Source organism: Homo sapiens, chromosome 13 (genome assembly GCF_000001405.40).
Source record: "Homo sapiens chromosome 13, GRCh38.p14 Primary Assembly".
NCBI classification, from domain to species: domain Eukaryota; kingdom Metazoa; phylum Chordata; class Mammalia; order Primates; family Hominidae; genus Homo; species Homo sapiens.
Window position 1 is genome coordinate 32386981 of NC_000013.11, and position 22572 is coordinate 32409552.

At 38.2% G+C, this 22572-nt stretch overlaps 2 protein-coding genes across 34 annotated transcripts in view, besides 1 other annotated feature; one reads left to right on the forward strand and one right to left on the reverse strand.

Annotated features, from left to right (window-relative positions):
- BRCA2 (BRCA2 DNA repair associated) overlaps positions 1 to 13288 on the forward strand; it is an 85192-nt gene extending 71904 nt beyond the window's left edge. For all 7 annotated transcript variants that reach the window (NR_176251.1, NM_001432077.1, NM_000059.4 and 4 more), the window contains 3 exons: positions 7709 to 7953; positions 9918 to 10064; positions 11182 to 13288. Coding sequence is in view for 6 of the 7 variants with exons in the window: in NM_001432077.1 (NP_001419006.1) it covers positions 7709 to 7953; positions 9918 to 10064; positions 11182 to 11790 (1001 nt within the window). In the remaining variant the exon portion in view is untranslated. The remainder of the gene's footprint in view (positions 1 to 7708; positions 7954 to 9917; positions 10065 to 11181) is intronic.
- Positions 13743 to 22572, reverse strand: part of N4BP2L1 (NEDD4 binding protein 2 like 1) — a 28893-nt gene continuing 20063 nt past the window's right edge. For 9 of the 27 annotated variants that reach the window (NR_148475.2, XM_011535303.3, NM_052818.3 and 6 more), the window contains 4 exons: positions 20665 to 20792; positions 20270 to 20358; positions 17341 to 17417; positions 13743 to 16220 (listed from right to left, as the gene is read on the reverse strand). Coding sequence is in view for 21 of the 27 variants with exons in the window: in XM_011535303.3 (XP_011533605.1) it covers positions 15962 to 16220; positions 17341 to 17417; positions 20270 to 20358; positions 20665 to 20792 (553 nt within the window). In the remaining 6 variants the exon portion in view is untranslated. Of the gene's footprint in view, positions 16221 to 16675; positions 16782 to 17222; positions 17292 to 17340; positions 17418 to 20269; positions 20359 to 20664; positions 20793 to 22572 lie in introns of those variants that run through there. The other 18 variants (NR_148478.2, NM_001079691.2, NM_001353628.2 and 15 more) reach the window with 13 other exon arrangements.
- Positions 20923 to 21202: an enhancer, noted in NCBI's record as "active region_7556". NCBI's record gives its function as "activates an Ori minimal core promoter by ATAC-STARR-seq in GM12878 lymphoblastoid cells {active_cell/tissue: GM12878}" and the evidence as "EXISTENCE:reporter gene assay evidence [ECO:0000049][PMID:35858748]".

Here is a 22572-nt window from a genome sequence, read left to right on the forward strand (position 1 = left end):
CTCTTTGCTTCTGGTGATTTGCTGGCATTTTTTGGCATTCTTTGGCTTGTAGATGTCTCACCTCCACCTTTGCTTCATTGTAAGGTGGTGGTCTCCCAATGTACATGTCTGTGTCTAAATTTCCCCATATATTAGGACACCAGTCATTATATTAGAGCCTGCCCATATGTGTGGGTGGAGGATTACCCAGGTGCCGAGGCAAGAGACTGAAGGCACAAACTATTTCAGTATAATAAAGAAAATAGTTAGATTAAGGATAGTCATAATACAAATTAGATATAGAGATGATCATGGACAATTAGCAATCATTATAAACCTTAATCATTAGCTTTTAGTATTATTCTTTGCTGCATTACTAATATAACCTAGGAATAACTGGCGGGTATAGGGTGAGGTGCTGAAGGGACATTGTGAGAAGTGACCTAGAAGGCAAGAGGTGAGCCTTCTGTCACGCCCGCATAAGGGCCACTTGAGGGCTCCTTGGTCAAGCGGTAACGGCAGTGTCTGGGAAGACACCCGTTACTTAGCAGACCGCAAAAGGGAGTCTCATTTCCTTGGAGGAGTCAGGGAACACTCTGCTCCACCAGCTTCTTGTGGAAGCCTGGATATTACGCAGGCCTGCCCGCAGTCATCCGGAGGCCTAAATCCCCTCCCTGTGGTGCTGTGCTTCAGTGGTCACACTCCTTGTCCACTTTTATGCTTCTCCCGTACTCTTGGTTCCTCTTTGAAGTTCGTAGTAGATAGCGGTAGAAGGAATAGTGAAAGTCTTGAAGTCTTTGATCTTTCTTATAAGTGCAGAGAAGAAAACGCTGACGTATGCTGCCTTCCCTCTCTGTTTCGGCTACCTAAAAGGAAAGGGCCCCCTATCCTGTAATCACGTGAATTGCTTCACCTTTTCAATCACTTAGAAGATTCACCCTCCTTACCATGCCCCCTTGTCTTGTATGCAATAAATATCAGCAAGCCCAGCCGTTCGGGCCGCTACCGGTCTCCCGCGTCTTGATGGTAGTGGTCCCCTGGGTCCAGCTGTTTTCTCTTTATCTCTTTGTCTTGTGTCTTTATTTCTTACAATCTCTTGTCTCCGCACACGAGAACACCCGCTAAGCCGCATAGGGCTGGACCCTACACATATGACCTCATCTTTTTTTTTTTTTTTGAGTTAGGGTCTCACTCTGTTGCCCAGGCTGGAGTGCAGTGGTGTGATCTCAGCTCACTGCAGCCTCTGCCTCCCCAGCTCAAGCAATTATTGTGCCTTAGCCTCCCGAGTAGCTGGGACGACAGGCACGTGCCACCACACACGGCTAATTTTTTGTATTTTAATAGAGCTGGGGTTTCACCATGTTGCCCAGGGTGGTCTTGAACTCCTGAGCTCAGGCATTCTGCTTGCCTCAGCATCACAAAGTGCTGGGATTATAGGCTTGAGCCACTATGCCCAGCGTGTCTTAGGATTTTTCAACTTTATAATGGTCTGAAAACAAAACATGAGTACCTTACAACTATTCTTTTTCACTTCCAGTACAGTATGCAATAAATTACATGAGATATTCAACACTTTTTTTTTTAAAAACAGGCCTTGCGTTAGATGATTTTGCTCAACTGTAGGCTAATATAAGTGTTCTGAACACATTTAAGATAGGCTAGGCTAACCTCTATGCTCAGTAGGTTAAATGTATTAAATGCATTTTCTTTTTTTTTTTTTGAGATTGAAAGTCACATTTATTGCCACGTGAAGGAAAGCCAATTAAGTCAAATTGATTAATGTTTGCAGAGTATATCTGTTTCGATCCTTTTGTTTTTAATCTACCTTTGTCGAATTTAAAGTGAGTTTCCTATAAGGAACAAATAGTCGGGTTATAAATTTTTATCCACTCTTTCAATCTCTGTCCATTGATTGGATATTTACATCACTTACAATGAAGGTAATTATTGATATGCCAGCATTCAACTTTGTCATTTTATTATTTGTTTTCTATTTGTTTCTCCTGCTTTTCATTCCTCCATTTCTCTTTTCTTGCCTTCCTGAAGGTTACTTAAATATATTTTAGGATTCCATCTTGATTTATTTTTAGTGTTTTCAGGCATTTTTGTATTATTTTTGTAGTTGTTTCTCTAGGTGTTACAACATACATGTATGACTTACAGCAGTCTACTAGTATCAATATTCTACCACTCTAAGTGAAGTGTGAGAATTTTGCTTTCATTTTGATTTTGGAGGGAAAGGGATTGGATAGTGACCATATACAGACCTTTTTCTTCCCTACTTTTAAATACTATTTTCTTGGATATCATAGTATTATTATTTTTGTTTTAGTCATCAAACATAATTTATAAACTGCATGAGGAAATGATAGCTTATCGTATATGTCCATTTCTCAAACTCTTTCCATTGTTTCTTCCTCCATCCTATTGTCCTCAGTCCTGATGCTCTGAGAGTCTTCCTTTAATCTTCTCTTTTCTGTTTAAACAATTTCTTTTAGGCAATTTTTGAGTTAGAGAAAATTCTTTTAGTTTTCTCTCATCTCAGAATATTTTATTTCTCCTTTATTCCTTGAGAATTGTTTCAGGATATAGAATTTGTAGTTGATAATTCTTTCTTTCAGTACTTGAAAAATATTGTGCCACTTCCCTCTGGCCTCTGGTTTTAGATGAGAAATCTGTCATCATTCCAATTGATGTGTCCCTATTTAAATGCATTTTCAACTAACAACGGGTTTATTGTGACATAACCCCATCATAAGTTGTCCTCGACTGTGTTTCCAGATAAGGCTGCATTCACAGGTACTGGGAATTAGTCACAATGTATCCTGTAACATCCTGGAACCTTTCCTTATGTCAGTCAGTCCTGGTCACCTGTTTGGTCCCTGGCAGTTTTTTCTCATTTCTGTTCAGAAGAAGAAAAAGGTAAAGATTCTTCAGATTTAGGAATAACAGAATTCTCAAAAATGTCATTTTACCAGTTTAGTTGGGGAAGGAGATTAGACTCTGAGCCTTCCTGTGCTTAGTTCTATCCATAATCTTCTGTTTCTTAATCACCAGATTTTAAATTTTATATCATGATATTCCACGTTTGTAGATTTTGGGTGAATGTTTCCTTTTTAAAATTTAATTTGTTTTTAAGTGTTAAAGTTCTATTAGAAAGTTTCAAGGAGCCACCTTAAACCAGAAGTCTTTAACACCCAGATCTAGTCATGATGCCTCCCAGCTTAAAATCTTCAGTGGTCCCCTGTCCCTTAGAAAATGAAACCCAGACTCTTTTGTATACCCCCAAAACCATTCAACTTCCTGCCTTAAACCACCACCATACACACGTCAGCTAAACTCTAATTTTAGGCTGGGCGCAGTAGCTAATGCTTGTAATCCCAGGACTTTGGGAGGCTGAGGCGGCTCGCAAGGCTAGGAGTTTGGGACAAGTCTGGGCAACAGTGAGATTCTGTCTCTATAAACATAAAAACTAAATTTAAAAAAAAAACTACTTTAAAACATAATAATAAAACAAACTGTACAAGTTCATATTCCTGATGCATGATAACATTTAATGCTTCCTACCTTTAAAAATCTTCTTTGTTTTGCATAGATGCTCTTTTGTTCTCCCCCTCTTGATGAATTTGTCCTATTCATTATTCAGCTCAAGTATTACCTCCCTAGTCAGATGCTTACAGTCTGGGTTAGATCCTCCTTCCTCCAGCTTTTGAAGCATTTTGTTGGTTTGGCTGTTTCAGCACTTGTCACATGGTCCATGATCCTACCTGTACACTTCTGAATAAGCCACCTACTAGCCTCAGTAATACAATGATCTCTTCAAGGACAGGGACTCTGTTTGGATTTCTACTTCCACTTCTGACATAATGGGTTGAAGCAGGGGTCAGTTGTTGAAAACTCCAGGTATGCAGCATCTCATACGGTCCTCATAGTCACACTGTTCATTTGCTATTATCATCCCACTTTACAGATGGGGAAACTGGAGCTCAGAGAGGTTAAGTAGCCTGCTCAGGGTCACAATGCTATAAATTGATTTGAACTTATACTTTCAGGCCCTAAAGCTCTTAGGTTCTTTCTTATACTTCATGCTGACAAAACAAAAGCAAACTCAACATTTGAGAGTTGGGCTTAAAACAGGGACATCTGTATTTTTAATCTAATGCTTTGTTACTGTATTACAGAAACACTGTGATATATAATGAGTTAATTAAACGAGAACCTTTCTTAGGTTGGGAAAGATTTGTTTTGGGGAAAGCCTGTTTCCCTGGGAAACAGACTTACAGATTTCATGTAGGAGATTAGAAAATGCCCTTAGGAACAGCACTTGTGAGGAAGCAAATGCAGCAGGATTGGGCAGAAGAAGAAGAAAGGTTCAGTTAGTCCCACAGGGACTTCTGGAGCTGGGTGGCCCTTCAGAGTCTTGCTAGCCTGAGGCAAGAGCCAGTCCTTGCATACTGGCTCCTCCAGGGAGGGGCATAGCCTTAAGCAAGACAATGCCTTTCGACAGAGGGCAAGTCCAGGAGGGAACTCAGAGGTGAGTTGTCAATAGCTAGCTCTCCCCAGAAGCTGGAGGATCACATGCCTTGGTCCTGAAGGGGATCTGCACCCGCACCATGGCATCCACTCCAGGTGGAATCGGTGACAGTGGTTTTATAAATTGCTAAGTCCTTTATTGTTTCAGTGACATTTTCTAAAAGGAATTAAAAGCTTTGAAGAATTCTATGCAAGTTCAGAGTAGGCCAGACCACAAAGCTGCAAAATAAGTTTCTTCTTTTCCTTTTGTCTTGTGAAGATTTACCTAGTGTAGGATTCTAAAAGTGTTACACTAAAAATTCTTCCAGTTGTTATCAGTTGTATGATAATTAAAGAAATAAGGCTTCCATTTCTTTTGATGGAATTTGATCCAGACATGGAAACCTCCACTTACGTAAAAGTGCAATGAGGAAACTACACTGTTTACTTTTTATTTTTCTGTATTCTAAATGTTTTTCAATAAACATGTATTTTATATTTGGGGAAAACAAGATATATTTAAAAAGGACATTTGGGAGAAGGACAGTACTATCATCAAGTTTTGAATATAATTAGAGGCAAGTTCCAAAATTAGAAAATGGAACATGCTTGAGAAACTTATAATTTCTTTAAAAGCAGTGTTTAAAATTAAGATCCATTAAATAAATTTGAAATGAAAAGAAAGAAAAGATGAACCATCATTTGCAATAGAATAAACAAATCCTTATCTGAGAATGACATTTCCATTCCCTGTTATTTACAACGGATACATAATTCTCAGAGTAACAAAAACAATAAAGTATAAAGAGTAGAATTAAATGCTTAGTGCCTCTTCCAACTCCAGCTTTCCTAGCCTCAGTTCTATCCTGGTTTATCCCAGGATAGAATGGATAGCACCTACCCATCTTTCACTTTAGAATTTTATAACTCTTGGCTAGGCACAGTGGCTCATGCCTGTAATCCCAGCACTTTGGGAGGCCAAAGCAGGCAGATCACTTGAGGCCAGGAGTTCAAGACCAGCCTGGCCAACATGGCTTGAACCCGGGAGGCGGGGGCTGCGGTGACCCAAGATTGCACCACTGCACCCTAGCCTAGGCCACAGAGTGAGACTGCGTCTCAAAAAAAAAAAAAAAAAATTATAACTCTTTATTTTGAACTAATTTCAGACCTTTAAACAAGTTGCAAAAATCGTGGAATTTCCAAATATTCCTCACCTAGCTTCCCCTAATGTTAACATCTTGCATAACCGTAGTACAATTAGAATCAGAAAGTTAATAGTGGTATAATTATTACCCATACTGTAGATGTATTTGAAAAATTGTTTGAGTTTAAGGTATTTTACCCTGTTTCCCCTTTTTTGTTCTGGGATCCCAAATTGCATTTAGTCATTTTTCCCCTGTATTTTCTACCAGTCTTTAATACTTCCTGTCTTCTTTTTCATGATCATTATGCTTTTGAATAGACTGATAATGATCATTATGTTTTTGAATAGACTGATCAATTATTTTGTAGCATTCCCCTCAATTTGAGTTCGTCTGATGTTTTCTCATGACTAGGATGAAGTTATGCATTTCTGGCAAGACTACCACTGAAGTGATGATGTGTCTTTCTCAGTACATCATATCAAGGGGTTAATGATACTGATCTTAATCACTTGATTAAGGTGATAATCTGCTGGGTTTCTCCTCTGTACAATAACTTCCTTTTTCTTTGTAGTTAATAAATATCTTGAGGGAGATTCTTTGAGACTGAATCCTATTTCACATCAAACTAGCATTCATCAGTTGATTTTGTTTGCAACAATGATTACTGTGGTATTTGCCTAATTATGATTTTTCTCCCTTTCTTTCCTTCTACATTAATTGGAATTCTATAAGGAAAAGCTGTGCCCTTTCCACCAATGTATTTATTTGGTTATTTATATCAGTATGGACTCAAGAACATTTATTTTATTCTGCAGGTTAAAATTTGGTACCTTCATTATTTTATTGTTTAACTTTTTTTTTTTAGCTTTGACCATTAGGAGCTTTCTCATATGGACTCGTGTGTTCTTTCAACCAGCTTTCTTCACTTTTTGAACACTTCCTTATTTTTTGACATCACAAGATGTTCCAAGTTCATCTTATATGTTCCCTGCCCTAGTCTTGGAATCAGCCATTTCTCTTGGCTTCTTTTTTTTAGTAGAAAATGGTGTTTAGATCCAAGATCTGGTTGCTAGATAGGCTCATTACTTTACTGTGGAGGCATCAGTACTGCCAGGCCCTCTCAGCAGACAGAGGTGGGAAATGTTTGTCTTCCATTTTGGATTCCCTCATGTCTAGTTGGATTTGTTTGTTGGTTGGTTTATTGGGTATGTGAAGTATCACTGTGGTTCTAGGGAGTCAGACCTGTACAAAAAGATATACTTCATGTCACTTCCTCCTTATCCTTGCAGTCCCAATCCTAATCCTCCTTTTTCCCCCACTCACACCCTGTTCCTTTAGTTTCTGAGTTTATCCTTCCTGATTTCTTTTGCTCAAATGAACAGATACATGTGTATTTTCTTATATTCCCTTCTTCCTTATAAGAAGGGGAACATACTCTAGCCTTTCTTTTATGCTTTTCTTTTTTAACTCAACACTGTCCTGGAGATCAGTTCATAGAAATCGTCCTCACTCTTTTTTTACAGCTACGTGGTACACCATTGTTTGGATGTACCACAGTTTATCCAACTCTATCCTGTATATGAGCTAATAAAAGTTGCTTCCAATATTTTATAATTATAATGTTTCAGTGAGTAACCTTGTTCATAGGTGTTTTCATGAACTTTATGTTCATGTGTATTTTACTATTATTAGAGGTCTATCTTCAGAGAGGAGTACAAGAAATGGGATTACTGGGTGCAAAGGTAAATGGATATGTGTCTTTGCTAGGTATTGCCAAATTTATCTCCAGAAATCTTGCACAAATCTGTACTCCTGTTAGCAATGTGTGCGTATACCTGCTTCCACATGACCTCAGTAAAAGAATGTGTTGTCATATTGGTATTGAAATTTTAGCACTGTAAGCAACAGGTCATTTTGGAAAACCTGAGCTTTCGCCAAATTCAGCTATTTTGATTTGCTTTTATTATTAGCATATACCAAAATAAATAGGCATATTAGAGTTTCCTTTCTTGCATCTTAAAATTCATCTAACACATCTATAATAACATTCTTTTCTTTTTTTTCCATTCTAGGACTTGCCCCTTTCGTCTATTTGTCAGACGAATGTTACAATTTACTGGCAATAAAGTTTTGGATAGACCTTAATGAGGACATTATTAAGCCTCATATGTTAATTGCTGCAAGCAACCTCCAGTGGCGACCAGAATCCAAATCAGGCCTTCTTACTTTATTTGCTGGAGATTTTTCTGTGTTTTCTGCTAGTCCAAAAGAGGGCCACTTTCAAGAGACATTCAACAAAATGAAAAATACTGTTGAGGTAAGGTTACTTTTCAGCATCACCACACATTTTGGTATTTTTCTATTTTGACAGTCCAGTATCAAGGAAATAGCTTTTATACAAATTGGATAGTTGAGGTAGTATGTGAGGTAAAGTTTAATCATATATTAATTGCCCATGAACCTCAGGAGATGGGGGAATGGGGAAATGACAGCAACTAGAAAGAGAAGAATGACTTGAAGGGAAATGAGTTAGGAGAAATTGTGAGAAGGATGTTCAGAAATGCAGACTTTGTAAGCAAACTGGAAATTGGTTACAAGAATAATATGAGTTATCTGTGGTTTGCAGCAGTCAGCAGTGTGATTAGTTAATAATATAGAGACTACAGGTTTACATTTAAACTCCATATCTAGTGTTTTATACAGATTATATTTCTTTGACTTGATTTAATCCCAGATAAGAGACACTGATATTATTTTCCCTAGATCATGTATGCATTTTCTGCTTAAATCTATATATACATTATATAATATTAGCTGGTGTTTATTGAGTGTTTACTATGTGTCAGACCTTGTTCTAAGCTTCTCATTTAATTCTCCCACAACCTTATGAGGTAGGGAACTGTTTTTCTATTTTATCAGTGAGAAACAGGTTAAATGGCTTGCCTTAGGTCAAATGCCAAGTTAGTAAAACTAGGATTCATACTTAGGCCATCGAATGCAGAACCCAGACTAGGAACTGCTATGCAATGCTGCTTCCCAGTAAAATTTGAGATTTCATGAGTTGGTAACTAGTGAAGAATACACAAAAAATAAGCCTCTTAATTCTGTAGTTTAATATTTGAAATGTGTGTTATTCAGAATTTATATAAAAATATATTTTAAAAGCATTAGAGTAGCTGTATAAAGAAAGCTGTGTTGACATTTTACCTAGAGACTCTATGCATAATGAATAACACTCTGCTATATCTAGTTTCTAAATTAGGGGTGGGAGTTGTATTCATTATTTAGTTCCCATACAGCATATCTACTGTTTACACCCCACATTTTCTTTTTTTCTTTCTTTCTTTTTTTTTTTTTTTTTTTTTTTTTTTTAGAGACAGAGTCTTGCTTTGTCACCCCCAGGCTGGAGTACAATAGCACAATCTCGGATCACTGCAGTGTCTGCCTCCTGGGCTCAAGCGATTCTCGTGCCTTAGCCTCCCAAGTAGCTGGGACTACAGGTGCGTGCCACCACGCCCAGCTAATTTTTGTATTTTTAGTAGAGACATGGTTTCACCATGTTGGGCAGTCTGGTCTCGAACTCTTGGCCTCAAGTGATCTGCCCACCTTGGCCTCCCCAAGTACTGGGTTTACAGGCATGAGCCACCGAGCCCGCATTTTCTCTGAGACGTCTTCAAAGGCAGTTTACTAATCCTGCTGAAGAGACAACTGTCATTTACACAGCATTTTAAAGTTTTACAAAATACTGTCATGAATTAGGTTAAACCATATGAAATTGCTGATATTTGACCAGTTGTGATTTCTCAAGCAACAGTTTCATGTAGTTTAACCTATAAATCATTTCAATTAATTCTTGGAACAGACGTGAGGTAGGTGAGGCAATTCTTTCTTTTCTCTAACCAAAGAAGTACCTTTATAGATGTGAGATGATTCCCAGCTATTAAGTAGTAAATAGAGCTAGGACTTGAGCCCCAATCTTCCAGCTTCAATCCAGATCATATGACAGCTTGCTGATTAAACTAGATGACAGAGAAGATCTCTTTCCTTCAGATACACATACTTTTTCTCTGTTCCCCTCTCCCTATCAGCTAGATTCCCCTAAATCACTGATACTGGTTTTGTAATTTTGCATCGGCATGTTTGACAATTGGTATCACATTTAGGGTTTTTCATTCTTTTTTGGTCCAAACTTTTCATTTCTGCTTTTAAAGGAAATACTTTTGGAAACATAAATATGTGGGTTTGCAATTTATAAAGCAGCTTTTCCACTTATTTTCTTAGAATATTGACATACTTTGCAATGAAGCAGAAAACAAGCTTATGCATATACTGCATGCAAATGATCCCAAGTGGTCCACCCCAACTAAAGACTGTACTTCAGGGCCGTACACTGCTCAAATCATTCCTGGTACAGGAAACAAGCTTCTGGTAAGTTAATGTAAACTCAAGGAATATTATAAGAAGTATATATGGAGGCCATCGTATATTCTGTTGTATACCTAGTAAACATGGTAAAATGTAATTAAACTTAATTAGAAAATGTGGTTGTTATGTGGCTCCTGTAAGTATAGTTATTTAGAAATTTTATTTATTGAAGCAAGATATGAAACTCTGGGTGCACACTTTCCAAACAGGTGCTTTCATTTACATGTGATTGAAAAGTGTTTTTTGTCATTTATTTCACTGTTCCATACAATTAGGGTTGTTTCTAAGCTGTTTGTAAGCTGTTTCTAAGCTATTTAAGTGGTTAAATCACAGTAGATGCAAATCAAGCTAAAGTCTTTAACATTGGCTAATGGCTGATTCTTAAATAGCTAATACTTGCTAAGGGTATCTATATTAACTCATTTAATCCTCATAACAACCCTATGAGATAAAACCTAAGTCCTCACTTAACATTGTCAATAGGTTTTTGGAAACTGATTTTAAGGGAAGTGATGTATAACAAAACCATTTTTTTTTCTCATCACTGTTCTAACAAAATGATGTTGAAGATTTAAATGACATTGCTCAAAGACCTGCTATACATTGTTTGACTTAAAGTCACAGTTTCCGAGAACCTATCAATTATGTTAAGTGAGGACTTGACTCTATTATCCTGATTTTGTAGATGAGGAGACTGTGGCATAGAGAGAGGTTAAGCAATTGCCTAATAAGGTCACAAAGCTAGAAAAGTAGGTATTAGAACCCAGATAGTGTGTGTTCTCAAGATGGCTTTAAAATATTTATCTTTGTTTAATCTGTTAATAATAAAAAACAAAAGATTAAAGCATAAGTGACGTCCCCTACCTCCTTTTTTATCTTTTACTGTGATTATTCTTCATCTTCCTTCCTTTTCATGTCATTTTATATGTTCTTATGTAAAATTACTTTCATCTAGAATAGGAATAATGTGAACTGAAATCACCTAACCTATTAGGAGTTAGGGGAGGGAGACTGTGTGTAATATTTGCGTGCTTAAATATTTTCAATGAAAAGTTACTTTGATTTAGTTTTTTATGTTACTACATAATTATGATAGGCTACGTTTTCATTTTTTTATCAGATGTCTTCTCCTAATTGTGAGATATATTATCAAAGTCCTTTATCACTTTGTATGGCCAAAAGGAAGTCTGTTTCCACACCTGTCTCAGCCCAGATGACTTCAAAGTCTTGTAAAGGGGAGAAAGAGATTGATGACCAAAAGAACTGCAAAAAGAGAAGAGCCTTGGATTTCTTGAGTAGACTGCCTTTACCTCCACCTGTTAGTCCCATTTGTACATTTGTTTCTCCGGCTGCACAGAAGGCATTTCAGCCACCAAGGAGTTGTGGCACCAAATACGAAACACCCATAAAGAAAAAAGAACTGAATTCTCCTCAGATGACTCCATTTAAAAAATTCAATGAAATTTCTCTTTTGGAAAGTAATTCAATAGCTGACGAAGAACTTGCATTGATAAATACCCAAGCTCTTTTGTCTGGTTCAACAGGAGAAAAACAATTTATATCTGTCAGTGAATCCACTAGGACTGCTCCCACCAGTTCAGAAGATTATCTCAGACTGAAACGACGTTGTACTACATCTCTGATCAAAGAACAGGAGAGTTCCCAGGCCAGTACGGAAGAATGTGAGAAAAATAAGCAGGACACAATTACAACTAAAAAATATATCTAAGCATTTGCAAAGGCGACAATAAATTATTGACGCTTAACCTTTCCAGTTTATAAGACTGGAATATAATTTCAAACCACACATTAGTACTTATGTTGCACAATGAGAAAAGAAATTAGTTTCAAATTTACCTCAGCGTTTGTGTATCGGGCAAAAATCGTTTTGCCCGATTCCGTATTGGTATACTTTTGCTTCAGTTGCATATCTTAAAACTAAATGTAATTTATTAACTAATCAAGAAAAACATCTTTGGCTGAGCTCGGTGGCTCATGCCTGTAATCCCAACACTTTGAGAAGCTGAGGTGGGAGGAGTGCTTGAGGCCAGGAGTTCAAGACCAGCCTGGGCAACATAGGGAGACCCCCATCTTTACAAAGAAAAAAAAAAGGGGAAAAGAAAATCTTTTAAATCTTTGGATTTGATCACTACAAGTATTATTTTACAAGTGAAATAAACATACCATTTTCTTTTAGATTGTGTCATTAAATGGAATGAGGTCTCTTAGTACAGTTATTTTGATGCAGATAATTCCTTTTAGTTTAGCTACTATTTTAGGGGATTTTTTTTAGAGGTAACTCACTATGAAATAGTTCTCCTTAATGCAAATATGTTGGTTCTGCTATAGTTCCATCCTGTTCAAAAGTCAGGATGAATATGAAGAGTGGTGTTTCCTTTTGAGCAATTCTTCATCCTTAAGTCAGCATGATTATAAGAAAAATAGAACCCTCAGTGTAACTCTAATTCCTTTTTACTATTCCAGTGTGATCTCTGAAATTAAATTACTTCAACTAAAAATTCAAATACTTTAAATCAGAAGATTTCATAGTTAATTTATTTTTTTTTTCAACAAAATGGTCATCCAAACTCAAACTTGAGAAAATATCTTGCTTTCAAATTGGCACTGATTCTGCCTGCTTTATTTTTAGCGCTATCACAGGACCCAGAGCCTATGCCCTTTTAAACTTACCACAAAAGCAGAAGATTAATTCAATTTAAGATGATACTCTCATTTGTTACGTCCTTTTTTTTTTTTTTTGGAGATGGAGTCTTGCTTTGTCGCCCATGCTGGAGTGCAGTGGCATGATCCTGGCTCACTGCAGCCTCCACTTCCCGGGTTCACGTAATTCTCCCACCTCAAGCCTCCCTAGTAGCTGGGATTACAGGGACGCACCACCATGCCCAGCTAATTTTTGCATTTTTAGTAGAGACTGGGTTTTACCATGTTGGCCAAGCTGGTCTCAAACTCCTGATGTCAGGTGATCCATCTGCCTCAGCCTCCCAAAGTGCTGGGATTATAGGCGTGAGCCACTGTGCCCGGCCAATATTTGTTACTTTCTTAGGTTTAATAGAGAAAAGGGATAAAACATTTCTAACTGGGAGTTAATTGCATGGAGAAGGTCTTAAATCAGATGTTTTAATGCCTTAAATGTCTGTATAATATCATGTTTTCAAATCTAATTATAAATACGTTTAAAGCCAAGAATAAATCTTTTAAAAAATTGACTTGTTTCCTTCCATAACTCTGAGCCATGATTTTTCTGTTCTGTAAAAAGCATTAACAAAATTGTCTATTTTGCTACTCCCTGTAACTTAAGTATTCTGCAAGTCTTATTAATGAGACTTGTTTTGTTTCTAAAACAGTTTGGTTTTCACATCCTAATTTTGCAGTGATCCACTCTAGAACAAGGAATAAAACTTGGGTTTCAAACAGGAGAACAGAAAAAATTACAAGAATTTAACCTTTTCTTTTTTGAATCCTTGGTACAACTGCTATTGTCTGTTCTCATGTAGAACACCCATTATGTTGATAGATATGTAATGCGCACACTTTTTTATAAATTATAAATAACATCCAAGCTACATGAAACAAAATATGAAGCTTGAGTATATGTGCATATTATCCCCTCAAAAGTGACAATTTAATGACTACAAAGTCAACATACTGCATCATAAGGGATAATGGTAAAAATTTGTGTTATTTATTCAGCAATCATTTAATGAGACCCTATTGCCCATAAAGAGCATTTGCCAGTTCTATGAATGATGCAAACAGCGAACACAATACAAGTCAATATTGGGTGTTCAAAGAGTTACACAAATCAGAAGCCATGGGAGTTGAAAAACAGATCACTTCTACAGGGGATAAAGTTGATGGCATTTAATCAATTTTTATGGTTTACAAACCAAATATTTCAGGGGTCAGCTAGGGAAAGAAGAGACATTAAATAGGCCAGGAAACTATTCTTTAGAGCTCTAGAAAAGTTATGTAACCCAGAGCCACTTCTCCATAGTGGTCACTCACTTAACCCAAGTGAGCCAAAAACCCTAAAGCAGGGAGCCAGCCAAGTCAGGAGGGCTTGAATCTGGTCCTTTGAACCGCTCATGTGAAATCAAAGGATGGTAATTTCCACTTTGAGCTCTCTGACATTTCTCCCCTCTACCAGCCCAGACGAGTCAAGCCATCCATATTGAGCTGGTTATGCCACCACCCTATCAACCAAGATACCCAGGACTACCTGGGCCTGGAAAATGGGAGCATTATTAAGTAGATCATTAGGAGATTATTTTATGTTGTGCTTGGAGATACAGAAGTTAGCAAAGCTGATAACACCTTAGATTCATTGGGATTTACTATTGTCAGCCAAACTTACTCAAAGGAGATACCAGTTTTTAAAATGTTAGTGAAGAAAACATTACACATGGTGTTGGTAGTCATGGAGATGTCGAGCAGGTTTCAGTAGTGTCAGATAACGTTAAAACAGTCTCATGTACACAGATCAAATATATAAGCAACTAAATTATAAGGCTGCTTTTGTCATTACCTTTACGATTCCTATTTATTAAAAAAAAGACTGGTAAATAAGCCTGTGATACAGAAAAACTGGTATATTGTTGAGTTTCTTGGCATTTAGGTAATTAAATTTTTTTATTGTTGAACCAAAAAAAGATCCAATGACAAATCCATATAAATGTGATACCATTTACAATTTTTAATAACCATAAAAGCACCATTATATAAGACACTTAAAATAATTTTTCACAGAACATTAGAAAGAAGCTGTTGGCCAACAAGAAATAGAGCATACGTCCTCTGTGGTCTTGTCTATCATGATCTCACATTAAATCTGATTCCAACCTGTTGGAAATTAATTTGGATTCATAAATTCAGCATCAGTATAAGAAGACATTCCAGAGTTGTGAGGACTTGATTGTCTTAATGCCACATAAAACATCAACTGCTCATTTTGTAATGAGCATGGCTTTTATATATCCCTGTATGACCTATATCCTGGGGTGCCTAATTTCTTGCACTCCCAAACATTTGAGCTGCCGACTAATTACACATGTTAATAGGCATAATTTTAGAAGTCGTTTATTCCTTTTAAAAGTTAGTGTTTTATGAAGGCAGGCTTATTTTATTTACACTATTAGCACAACAGCCAAAAGTTATTCAGGTTTAATCCTGCTGAATAAAGTAGTAAAAACACAAGGCGTGACTTTAAATAATGACACTGATTTCCCTCAGTAGCTCCTGTAGCTATTAAGGATTTGACAGCATTTTTAACAATGATACATCATTAAAATAAAGAAATAACTTCCCAAAGTGTCTACTTTGAAGGACAATGTTCCCTTAGATGTATGCTTTCTGGCATATTAACATTAAAGGAAAATCAGTATCATAAGAGTCGCACATCTCACATTTTTAGATACATAGATTATCAAAGTAGCAATGGCACTTTGATAAGTAGCAATGCCCCCCCACCACTTCTCTCCACCTTCCCAACTTTACCGATGGAGATGAATTTCCTGAAAAAATAAATAGATCACTTCAGAGCAAATGGTACTGAAGCTTATATATAATATAAACACTTTATTTCATCTATGAACCTATGTAAATATATTCTTGGGTGTGTTCTCAAGTTTTGGTTTCAAATTCTTACCCTAGAGAAAGAGACTGTTTACTCAAATCTGCAGAATTCCCAGCATCAGACCATGCATATAGAAGCACTTTAACAAATTTTGGTGAAGAAAGTGAATATAATGACTTTGCTCAGAAACTTTTGAGTTCAGCTATTTACACTGGAATTGGAGCTCTGACTAAAATGCAACAAAAAATAACAAAAACTGAAGTAGAAACTGACTTAGGAAAATTCTGCCTGGCTGTAAGATAGGCCTCTAATATCCATGGTGACAACCGCCCCTTCTGTGATAGGAGCTCTCATTTGTAAATCCACCGTGGGCCCTCCGGTTTGGAAACTCTGTGTAGGAATTCCAGTATCTGGCATTGTTGGAAGGCAATGCATTATTCCTGTCCTGGTTTCTGTTCATTCTGCTTGGCTTTTCTGCATGAAGCACACTGTGAAAAGTAACATCGTGTTCATACCGTTCTTTCATTCGGTGGATTTTTTCTCTTGAGACACCATGAATGTTTCTTCTACATGGAAAAAAAATGCATTTAGTTAAGGCAGGATACCACAATGAGTTACTTATATTTTACAAGTCCTCTAGTATTGCAGATATTGCAGTCCCTGTTCTCAGGACCTAGCTCTGGCAAAAGCATAACAAACATCTTGTTCAGCAGTTCTCTTTCAGCCTCCACTCATGTTTTTCATGCTGCCCTGCACACCCCCAAACCACCCTGAGGCTAGCAAGGAGCTAAAGCTTCAGAAATGCTTTGTTTCTGGTCCTCTCAATTACGTGCTTCAAGACATAAAAGAACACCATGAGATTTTTAAAAAATCATACATTTGCCTGTTAATGTCATGCATATATCTATCTACTTATGTTAATCAGTCCCTGAGATATATTTCTAGGAGATACTTATTAAAACAATCTTAAATTCTAGTGGGCAGAAGAATCAACTGGGGATATAGTTAGAAATATAATTACCAGAGATTCCAACTACTGAATGGGGTCCATGAACTCGGATTTTAATAGCCACCTGAGGCAATTCTGATGGAGTAGTCCACAGATCCACTTTGAAGACACTATCTGCCTATTACCATAAGAGGAACCAGCCTTACTCCTAAGAAGTAAATTCTTACCTCACTGGCTATTTTAAGTCAATGACATTATCAAATAATACAGACAGAGAATATCTGAACCCATGCATTCAATCAACAAGTTAGTATTATTTGAACATTTATTGCTTTATAAATTAGAAGCAGCATCTAGATCATAAATGAATCGCAGACTGCTCAACCTCTAAAGATCTTTAGCCTAAATGCAAAAACACCATTGACATGTGCAGTCCCATGCAGATAAAGTGCTTTTAAATGTTCCTTGATGAAGAAGCATTTTAGCAGAATGTTAAATGCATCCTTTTAAAGGACCAAGTCCAAGCCAAGATTTAGCATTTAGCATTATATTAGAAAACTGACCCAAAACTAAAGTCTTCACATTAATAATTCCAAAGTTATCAATTTCCAAGAATTACCATTTCTGGCCTGAAAACTACCATGTCCATTTCCAGCCTGAAAAGATTCTTTTGTTCGGTCTGAAATACCTGAAAATAGCAGGATACATAATGAGGAACTAGAAAAACAAAGAAGTACCTTGCTAACTCTTGAACGTTGAATTTCCAGCGAGTGTCAGGTTCTCGGAATATAACTTCATAGTTATTTTCAAGTGCCTGATTTTTCAAAAGTACATAAAACATTGAAGACATAGTATGTATGTTTGGGAATGTTTATGCTGCCATTTAACATTTACTACAAATCTTTTCAGAATTCCTTTTGTTTTACCAGTAATCCAATGCCTTAATTTATCACAATAAATGCAGTTGTTTCATTCCCATACTTAGCCACTCTCATAATTCTCCATGATAAATTTTGCTCAATTTTATCTAGTATGTAGGAAATTTGTAAAGGTTCTTTGTTTTGGACATCTTTAAAAATAGATGACTGAGCTAGTTTAAAACGTCCTGAACACCGGTATGAATGAACTCAGTGACGTCTCAAAGTCACTTATGGGATTTTTGTAGATTTACTTGTCAGATGCCTTGTCCTATTCCTCATGCCTTCCTTTAGAAAGTGGGAGTACCATAGGAACATAACTGGTGAAATAAAAGTGATAGTCACATACTTCACATCATCTTCCTTCCAAAAGTAGCTCTCCCCATTATGCAATACAATTTGGGTCAATGCTCTGGGCCCCATTTCCTTGAGTTTAGAAAACTATTATAATTTCCTTATAAACATCCAAATATTCTTTGCATTCATAAATTGACTACTACTTTATCTCAAACTGAATTTTCTATTATCACTATAATTTATTGTGTTTATAAAACATAGAGTGGAAAGAGCTAAGCAAAAAGGTTTCCTTTTCATTCTTGAGATGGGCGCTTCTCAACTGGGAAGGATTTAAATAACACAACCGGAAACCTCTCATTTCTAAGTCGAATTAATAGCTGAGGATGGCTGAAAAAGATTATACATATCCAGAAGATAAAAAGTAAAATGAGGCCGGGCGCGGTGGCTCACACCTGTAATCCCAGCACTTTGGGAGGCCGAGGCGGGTGAATCACTTCAGCTCAGGAGTTTGAGACCAGGCTGGCCACCACGGCAAATCCCCGTCTCTACTAAAAATACAAATACTAGCCAGGCGTGGTGGTACACGCCTGTAATCCCAGCTGCTGGGGTGGCTGACACACGAGAATTGCTTGAATCTAGGAAGCAGAGGCTGCAGTGAGCTGAGATCGTGCCACTGCACTCCAGCCTGGGAGACAGAGCGAGACTCTCTCTCTAAACAAAACAAAAAGTAAAATGACTTCCCTTAGGCTGCTTGTCAGTTAGTCCTTAAGTCTTGGTTTTAAGTGATGGCCTTCATTCAATTGACTCTTCACGTGCCTGTTCATTTCTCGCCCAAGTAGACTAGACATGAACTGAAGTAACCACAAGTTTGGGGCTCATTCTTCCTTACATTCACCAAAGCCCCACAATCTGGGCATAAGTGGAACTGATGAAGATCATTAGAGAAAAGCACACCTGTAAGTATGCCAGTTAGCCCCAGATGTAAAAAGAAGCCTAAAATCGTGAGCCCAGTCTGGACCTATTCACTTCACAATTAACCAGGTAGGGATTCTGCATGATGCGAGGAGGATACTCCACTATCTGCTTCCTGCCCCCTTTTTTTTTTTTTTTTTTTTTTTTTTTTGAGACAGAGTCTCGCTCTTTCACCCAGGCTGGAGTGCAGTGGCACGATCTCAGCTCACTGCAAGCTCCACCTCCCGGGTTCACGCCATTCTCCTGCCTCAGACTCCCCAGTAGCTGGGACTACAGGCGCCTGCCACCACGCCCGGCTAATTTTTGTATTTTTTTTTTTTTAGTAGAGACGGGGTTTCACCGTGTTAGTCAGGATGGTCTCAATCTCCTGACCTCGTGATCCACCCGCCTCAGCCTCCCAAAGTGCTGGGATTACAGGCATGAGCCACCGCACCCGGCCTTCCTGCCCCATTTTTATGGTTCTGGATCCTTCCTCCTTTCTAGACCCAATAGGGAATGAAAACATTATCACAAGAGATGGAATATGTATGAAAAAAGACCAAATAGACTTCACAATTAAAGGATAATGTGCACACTGTTACAGGCATCGTACTGTTCTTTGCTATTCTGACAATGAGAGCTGAGTTGTTTTTATTTATATTTGCATTCTACCATCTCAATAAGGTTACAGTGTTAATCCTAAATCTGTTTTTATTTTTTATTTAATTTTCTTTTTTTGAGATGGAATTTCACTCTTGTCACCCAGGCTGGAGAGCAGTGGTGTGATCTCAGGTCACTGCAACCTCCGCCTCCCAGGTTCAAGCTATTCTCCTGCCTCAGCCTCCCAAGTAGCTAGGATTACAGGCGCCCGCCACCATGCCCCGGCTATTTTTGTATTTTTAGTAGAGATGGGTTTTCACCATGGTGGCCAGGCTGGTCTCGAACTCCTGGACTCAAGTGATCCGCCCACCTCGGCCCCCCAAATTGCTGGGATTACAGGCGTGAGCCACCACACCTGGCCCTAAATCTGTCTTTAGACTAAAATATTCTGTTGCCCTGGAACTCCCAGGGAGCAACAGCACACAGTGTGGAAATTCCCGGCTCACCAGAGGCAGAACCGTCCTGTTGTGACCTGTAGCTCCACTACGAGCGCCATCTAATTCAGTATTAGTATTGATCTGAACATTTCGGTGGGTGCTTCTCTGTATGCCTTGCCGTAGGAAAGTAATTAAGACAGAAAAGTTATCAAGGATTCACACCAAAGACCATTTGCCAAGGACTATTTTTAAATTGTATCCTCAAGTGAGATTAGCATCTCAGCAAACTTCAGCCATTGAACAGCAGAGAAACACTAAAATAAAACCTCGTTACCTTCTCCCTGGGAGAACCACTGTTAGCAAATATGAAATCATGGAACATCAGAAAAAGAGGAAAGAACAGATGCTTCAACTTTCTCACAAAATGTCCATAACTGAAAATTCAGAATGATACTTCTTCCTACCATGACTGCATAGGGCTTCATTTCCCAGGCGTGGAGGTTGGTATTATCAATAATAATGGGGGATATGCCATTCCTCATTGCTTTTCTTGCTGCAACACAATGTTACATAACAGTGAACAACATGCAACAATCAGAGGGAAGGTGAGCGTAATCTCTATTCGTCATTTTTATTACAGGATGCCCTCATCTCCTCATCACACAACTTCAGAGCCCACTATCAATCAATAATTTTCTTTCTCTGGAATCTAAGGAGGTTATGCTCTGGTGTTCTGTTTTGGGGGAAAAATTGGCAGAACTTTCGGTTAAACTCCTTCCATAAAATTTATTCATTCTGCAGCAGCTACAATCTATGTGCACATCAGGGTTTCCCAGGAGTTTGGGAAGGAATTTGTCACCTCTTTTTTGGTTCCATTCATGAGCTTCCTCCAGGAAGTCAGGATTGAACTCATAGGCACCATCTTCCCTGAAGAAAAAATCATCCGTGCTGAAAATCAGGGCCCTGGGAAAGTCATGCTGCAATTGTCTGGAAAGTGGAGAAATGAGAGAGAGAGATGTTTTAAATATATGTATAGTCTCAGTAGAAATAATCTCCTTCCATCTCTAACATTTAGCAGTTTATAATTCTGAGACCACCAGGTTTGGAGTTGTTAAAATGCAGTTTCAAAAGAGAGATGTTTATTATGTCTAGAAGGCATCACTCCTTAGCAGGAGATGGGAGAGGGCTGAGAGGCAGCAGTGTGTGTTGCCAGTCCTTGAAACTAAGAGGCACAGTCACTGCCGCTGCCTTCTGTAGCGGCAAGAACTGACTCAAGAAGAAACTGAAGCTAAGTCGCAGGCCTGGTGACTGTCTTTCTTCCTGGGCACCAATCCCGGTGCCCATTCCTCTCCGAGGCACCAGTGCCCCTGCCCAAGACCTGCCCATGGGTGCCAGACCCCCATGCTGCAGCCCTTCCCTCGGCCCCCTAAACTCTGAGCTGGCCCATTTCCTTGGAGCTCTGTTCTCTGTAAGGACCCATCTGAGAAACTAATTCTAGTGAGAAATGTGGGGAAGTGATGCACGTGCTCTACTTTATCAGGTAACATATTTATGTTTTAATGATGACCCGAGCCAAATGGGAGAAAAGCACAACAGGAGAAGGAAAGCGACAGAGCCACTGTCCCCTACCTTCCTACCCTCCACCACTCTAAGTAGGAAATATCACAGCAAAAAGAAACACCACCATGGAGCTCCCCTTTAAAGCAAAACCAAAACAAAATGAATACGCTTATTCAGTTCTGCACAAAAGAACTTCAAAGAGAAGATGTTTCCACTTGAATCCTTGCTCGTACTATCTTTTGGCAGAAGGTGGATGTCATGCTCCGCAAGAACTGGAGACGTGTCTGAGCTTCCTTTCCGCATCTGTAAAAACTGAGGACAAACAAACCCAGCCAACAAACAGAAAATATGGTCACATGGCCATGCTCAGAATAAGAAGATATTTAAAAATCGGAGGAAAAAAGGTTGGAGAATGACAAGGGCAGGAAATGCAAAGAGAAAGCAAAGCTATTCAATGTCTTTTTTGCTGTTGGTCTTCTCCATGGAGCAGAAAGATCTTTAATCCAGGAAGAACAGAACAAACATGAGGCCTTGGGGCCACAGATGAGTAAGCACTTCAGGTGCCCCCACAGGCTTGGGAGCTTTTGTTTTCTCAACTGTAAAACACAGATAATTATCCCTACCTATTAAACAGAGCTTCTAATCAGACTGAAATGAGGCCAGTATGAAAAAACATTTTGTACCCAGTAAGGCACTTTACAAAAGTAAAATGGTGTTATAATAACAATGAGGCCAAATTGACCAACCCAGACTGTTTCTACGCCACAGTAATAAACACATCGGAGCGCGCATGTCAAGTAGTCCTTGAGATACTGCGGTGAATTAAGAGGGAGATGAAAGACAAAACTAAAGTAAAATGCTTCCATTTTCAAAAACGAGTGAATATACATTCCAGAAATGGTAACTAAATATCTGTCAAAATTCTTCAGAAGCTTGATAGCATTTAAAAAGAAGGCAGCATAGATCACTGAAATTCCAAACCAAATGCATTTTCTTTTTTAATGAACTAAACAGTGGCAAACCAGGAAATTCAGTGGACATACTATGTTTGTTTAAACAGGAATCTGACAGTCTCCCTTGGTAGCTTTGCGGGGAAATGCGGGCCAGTAGATAATACACTTTAATACCGAAAGAATATTAGTTAATTATCCAACCCATTAAACATTTATTGAGCACTTAACATGTGCCAAATGCCAGGTGAAGCGTT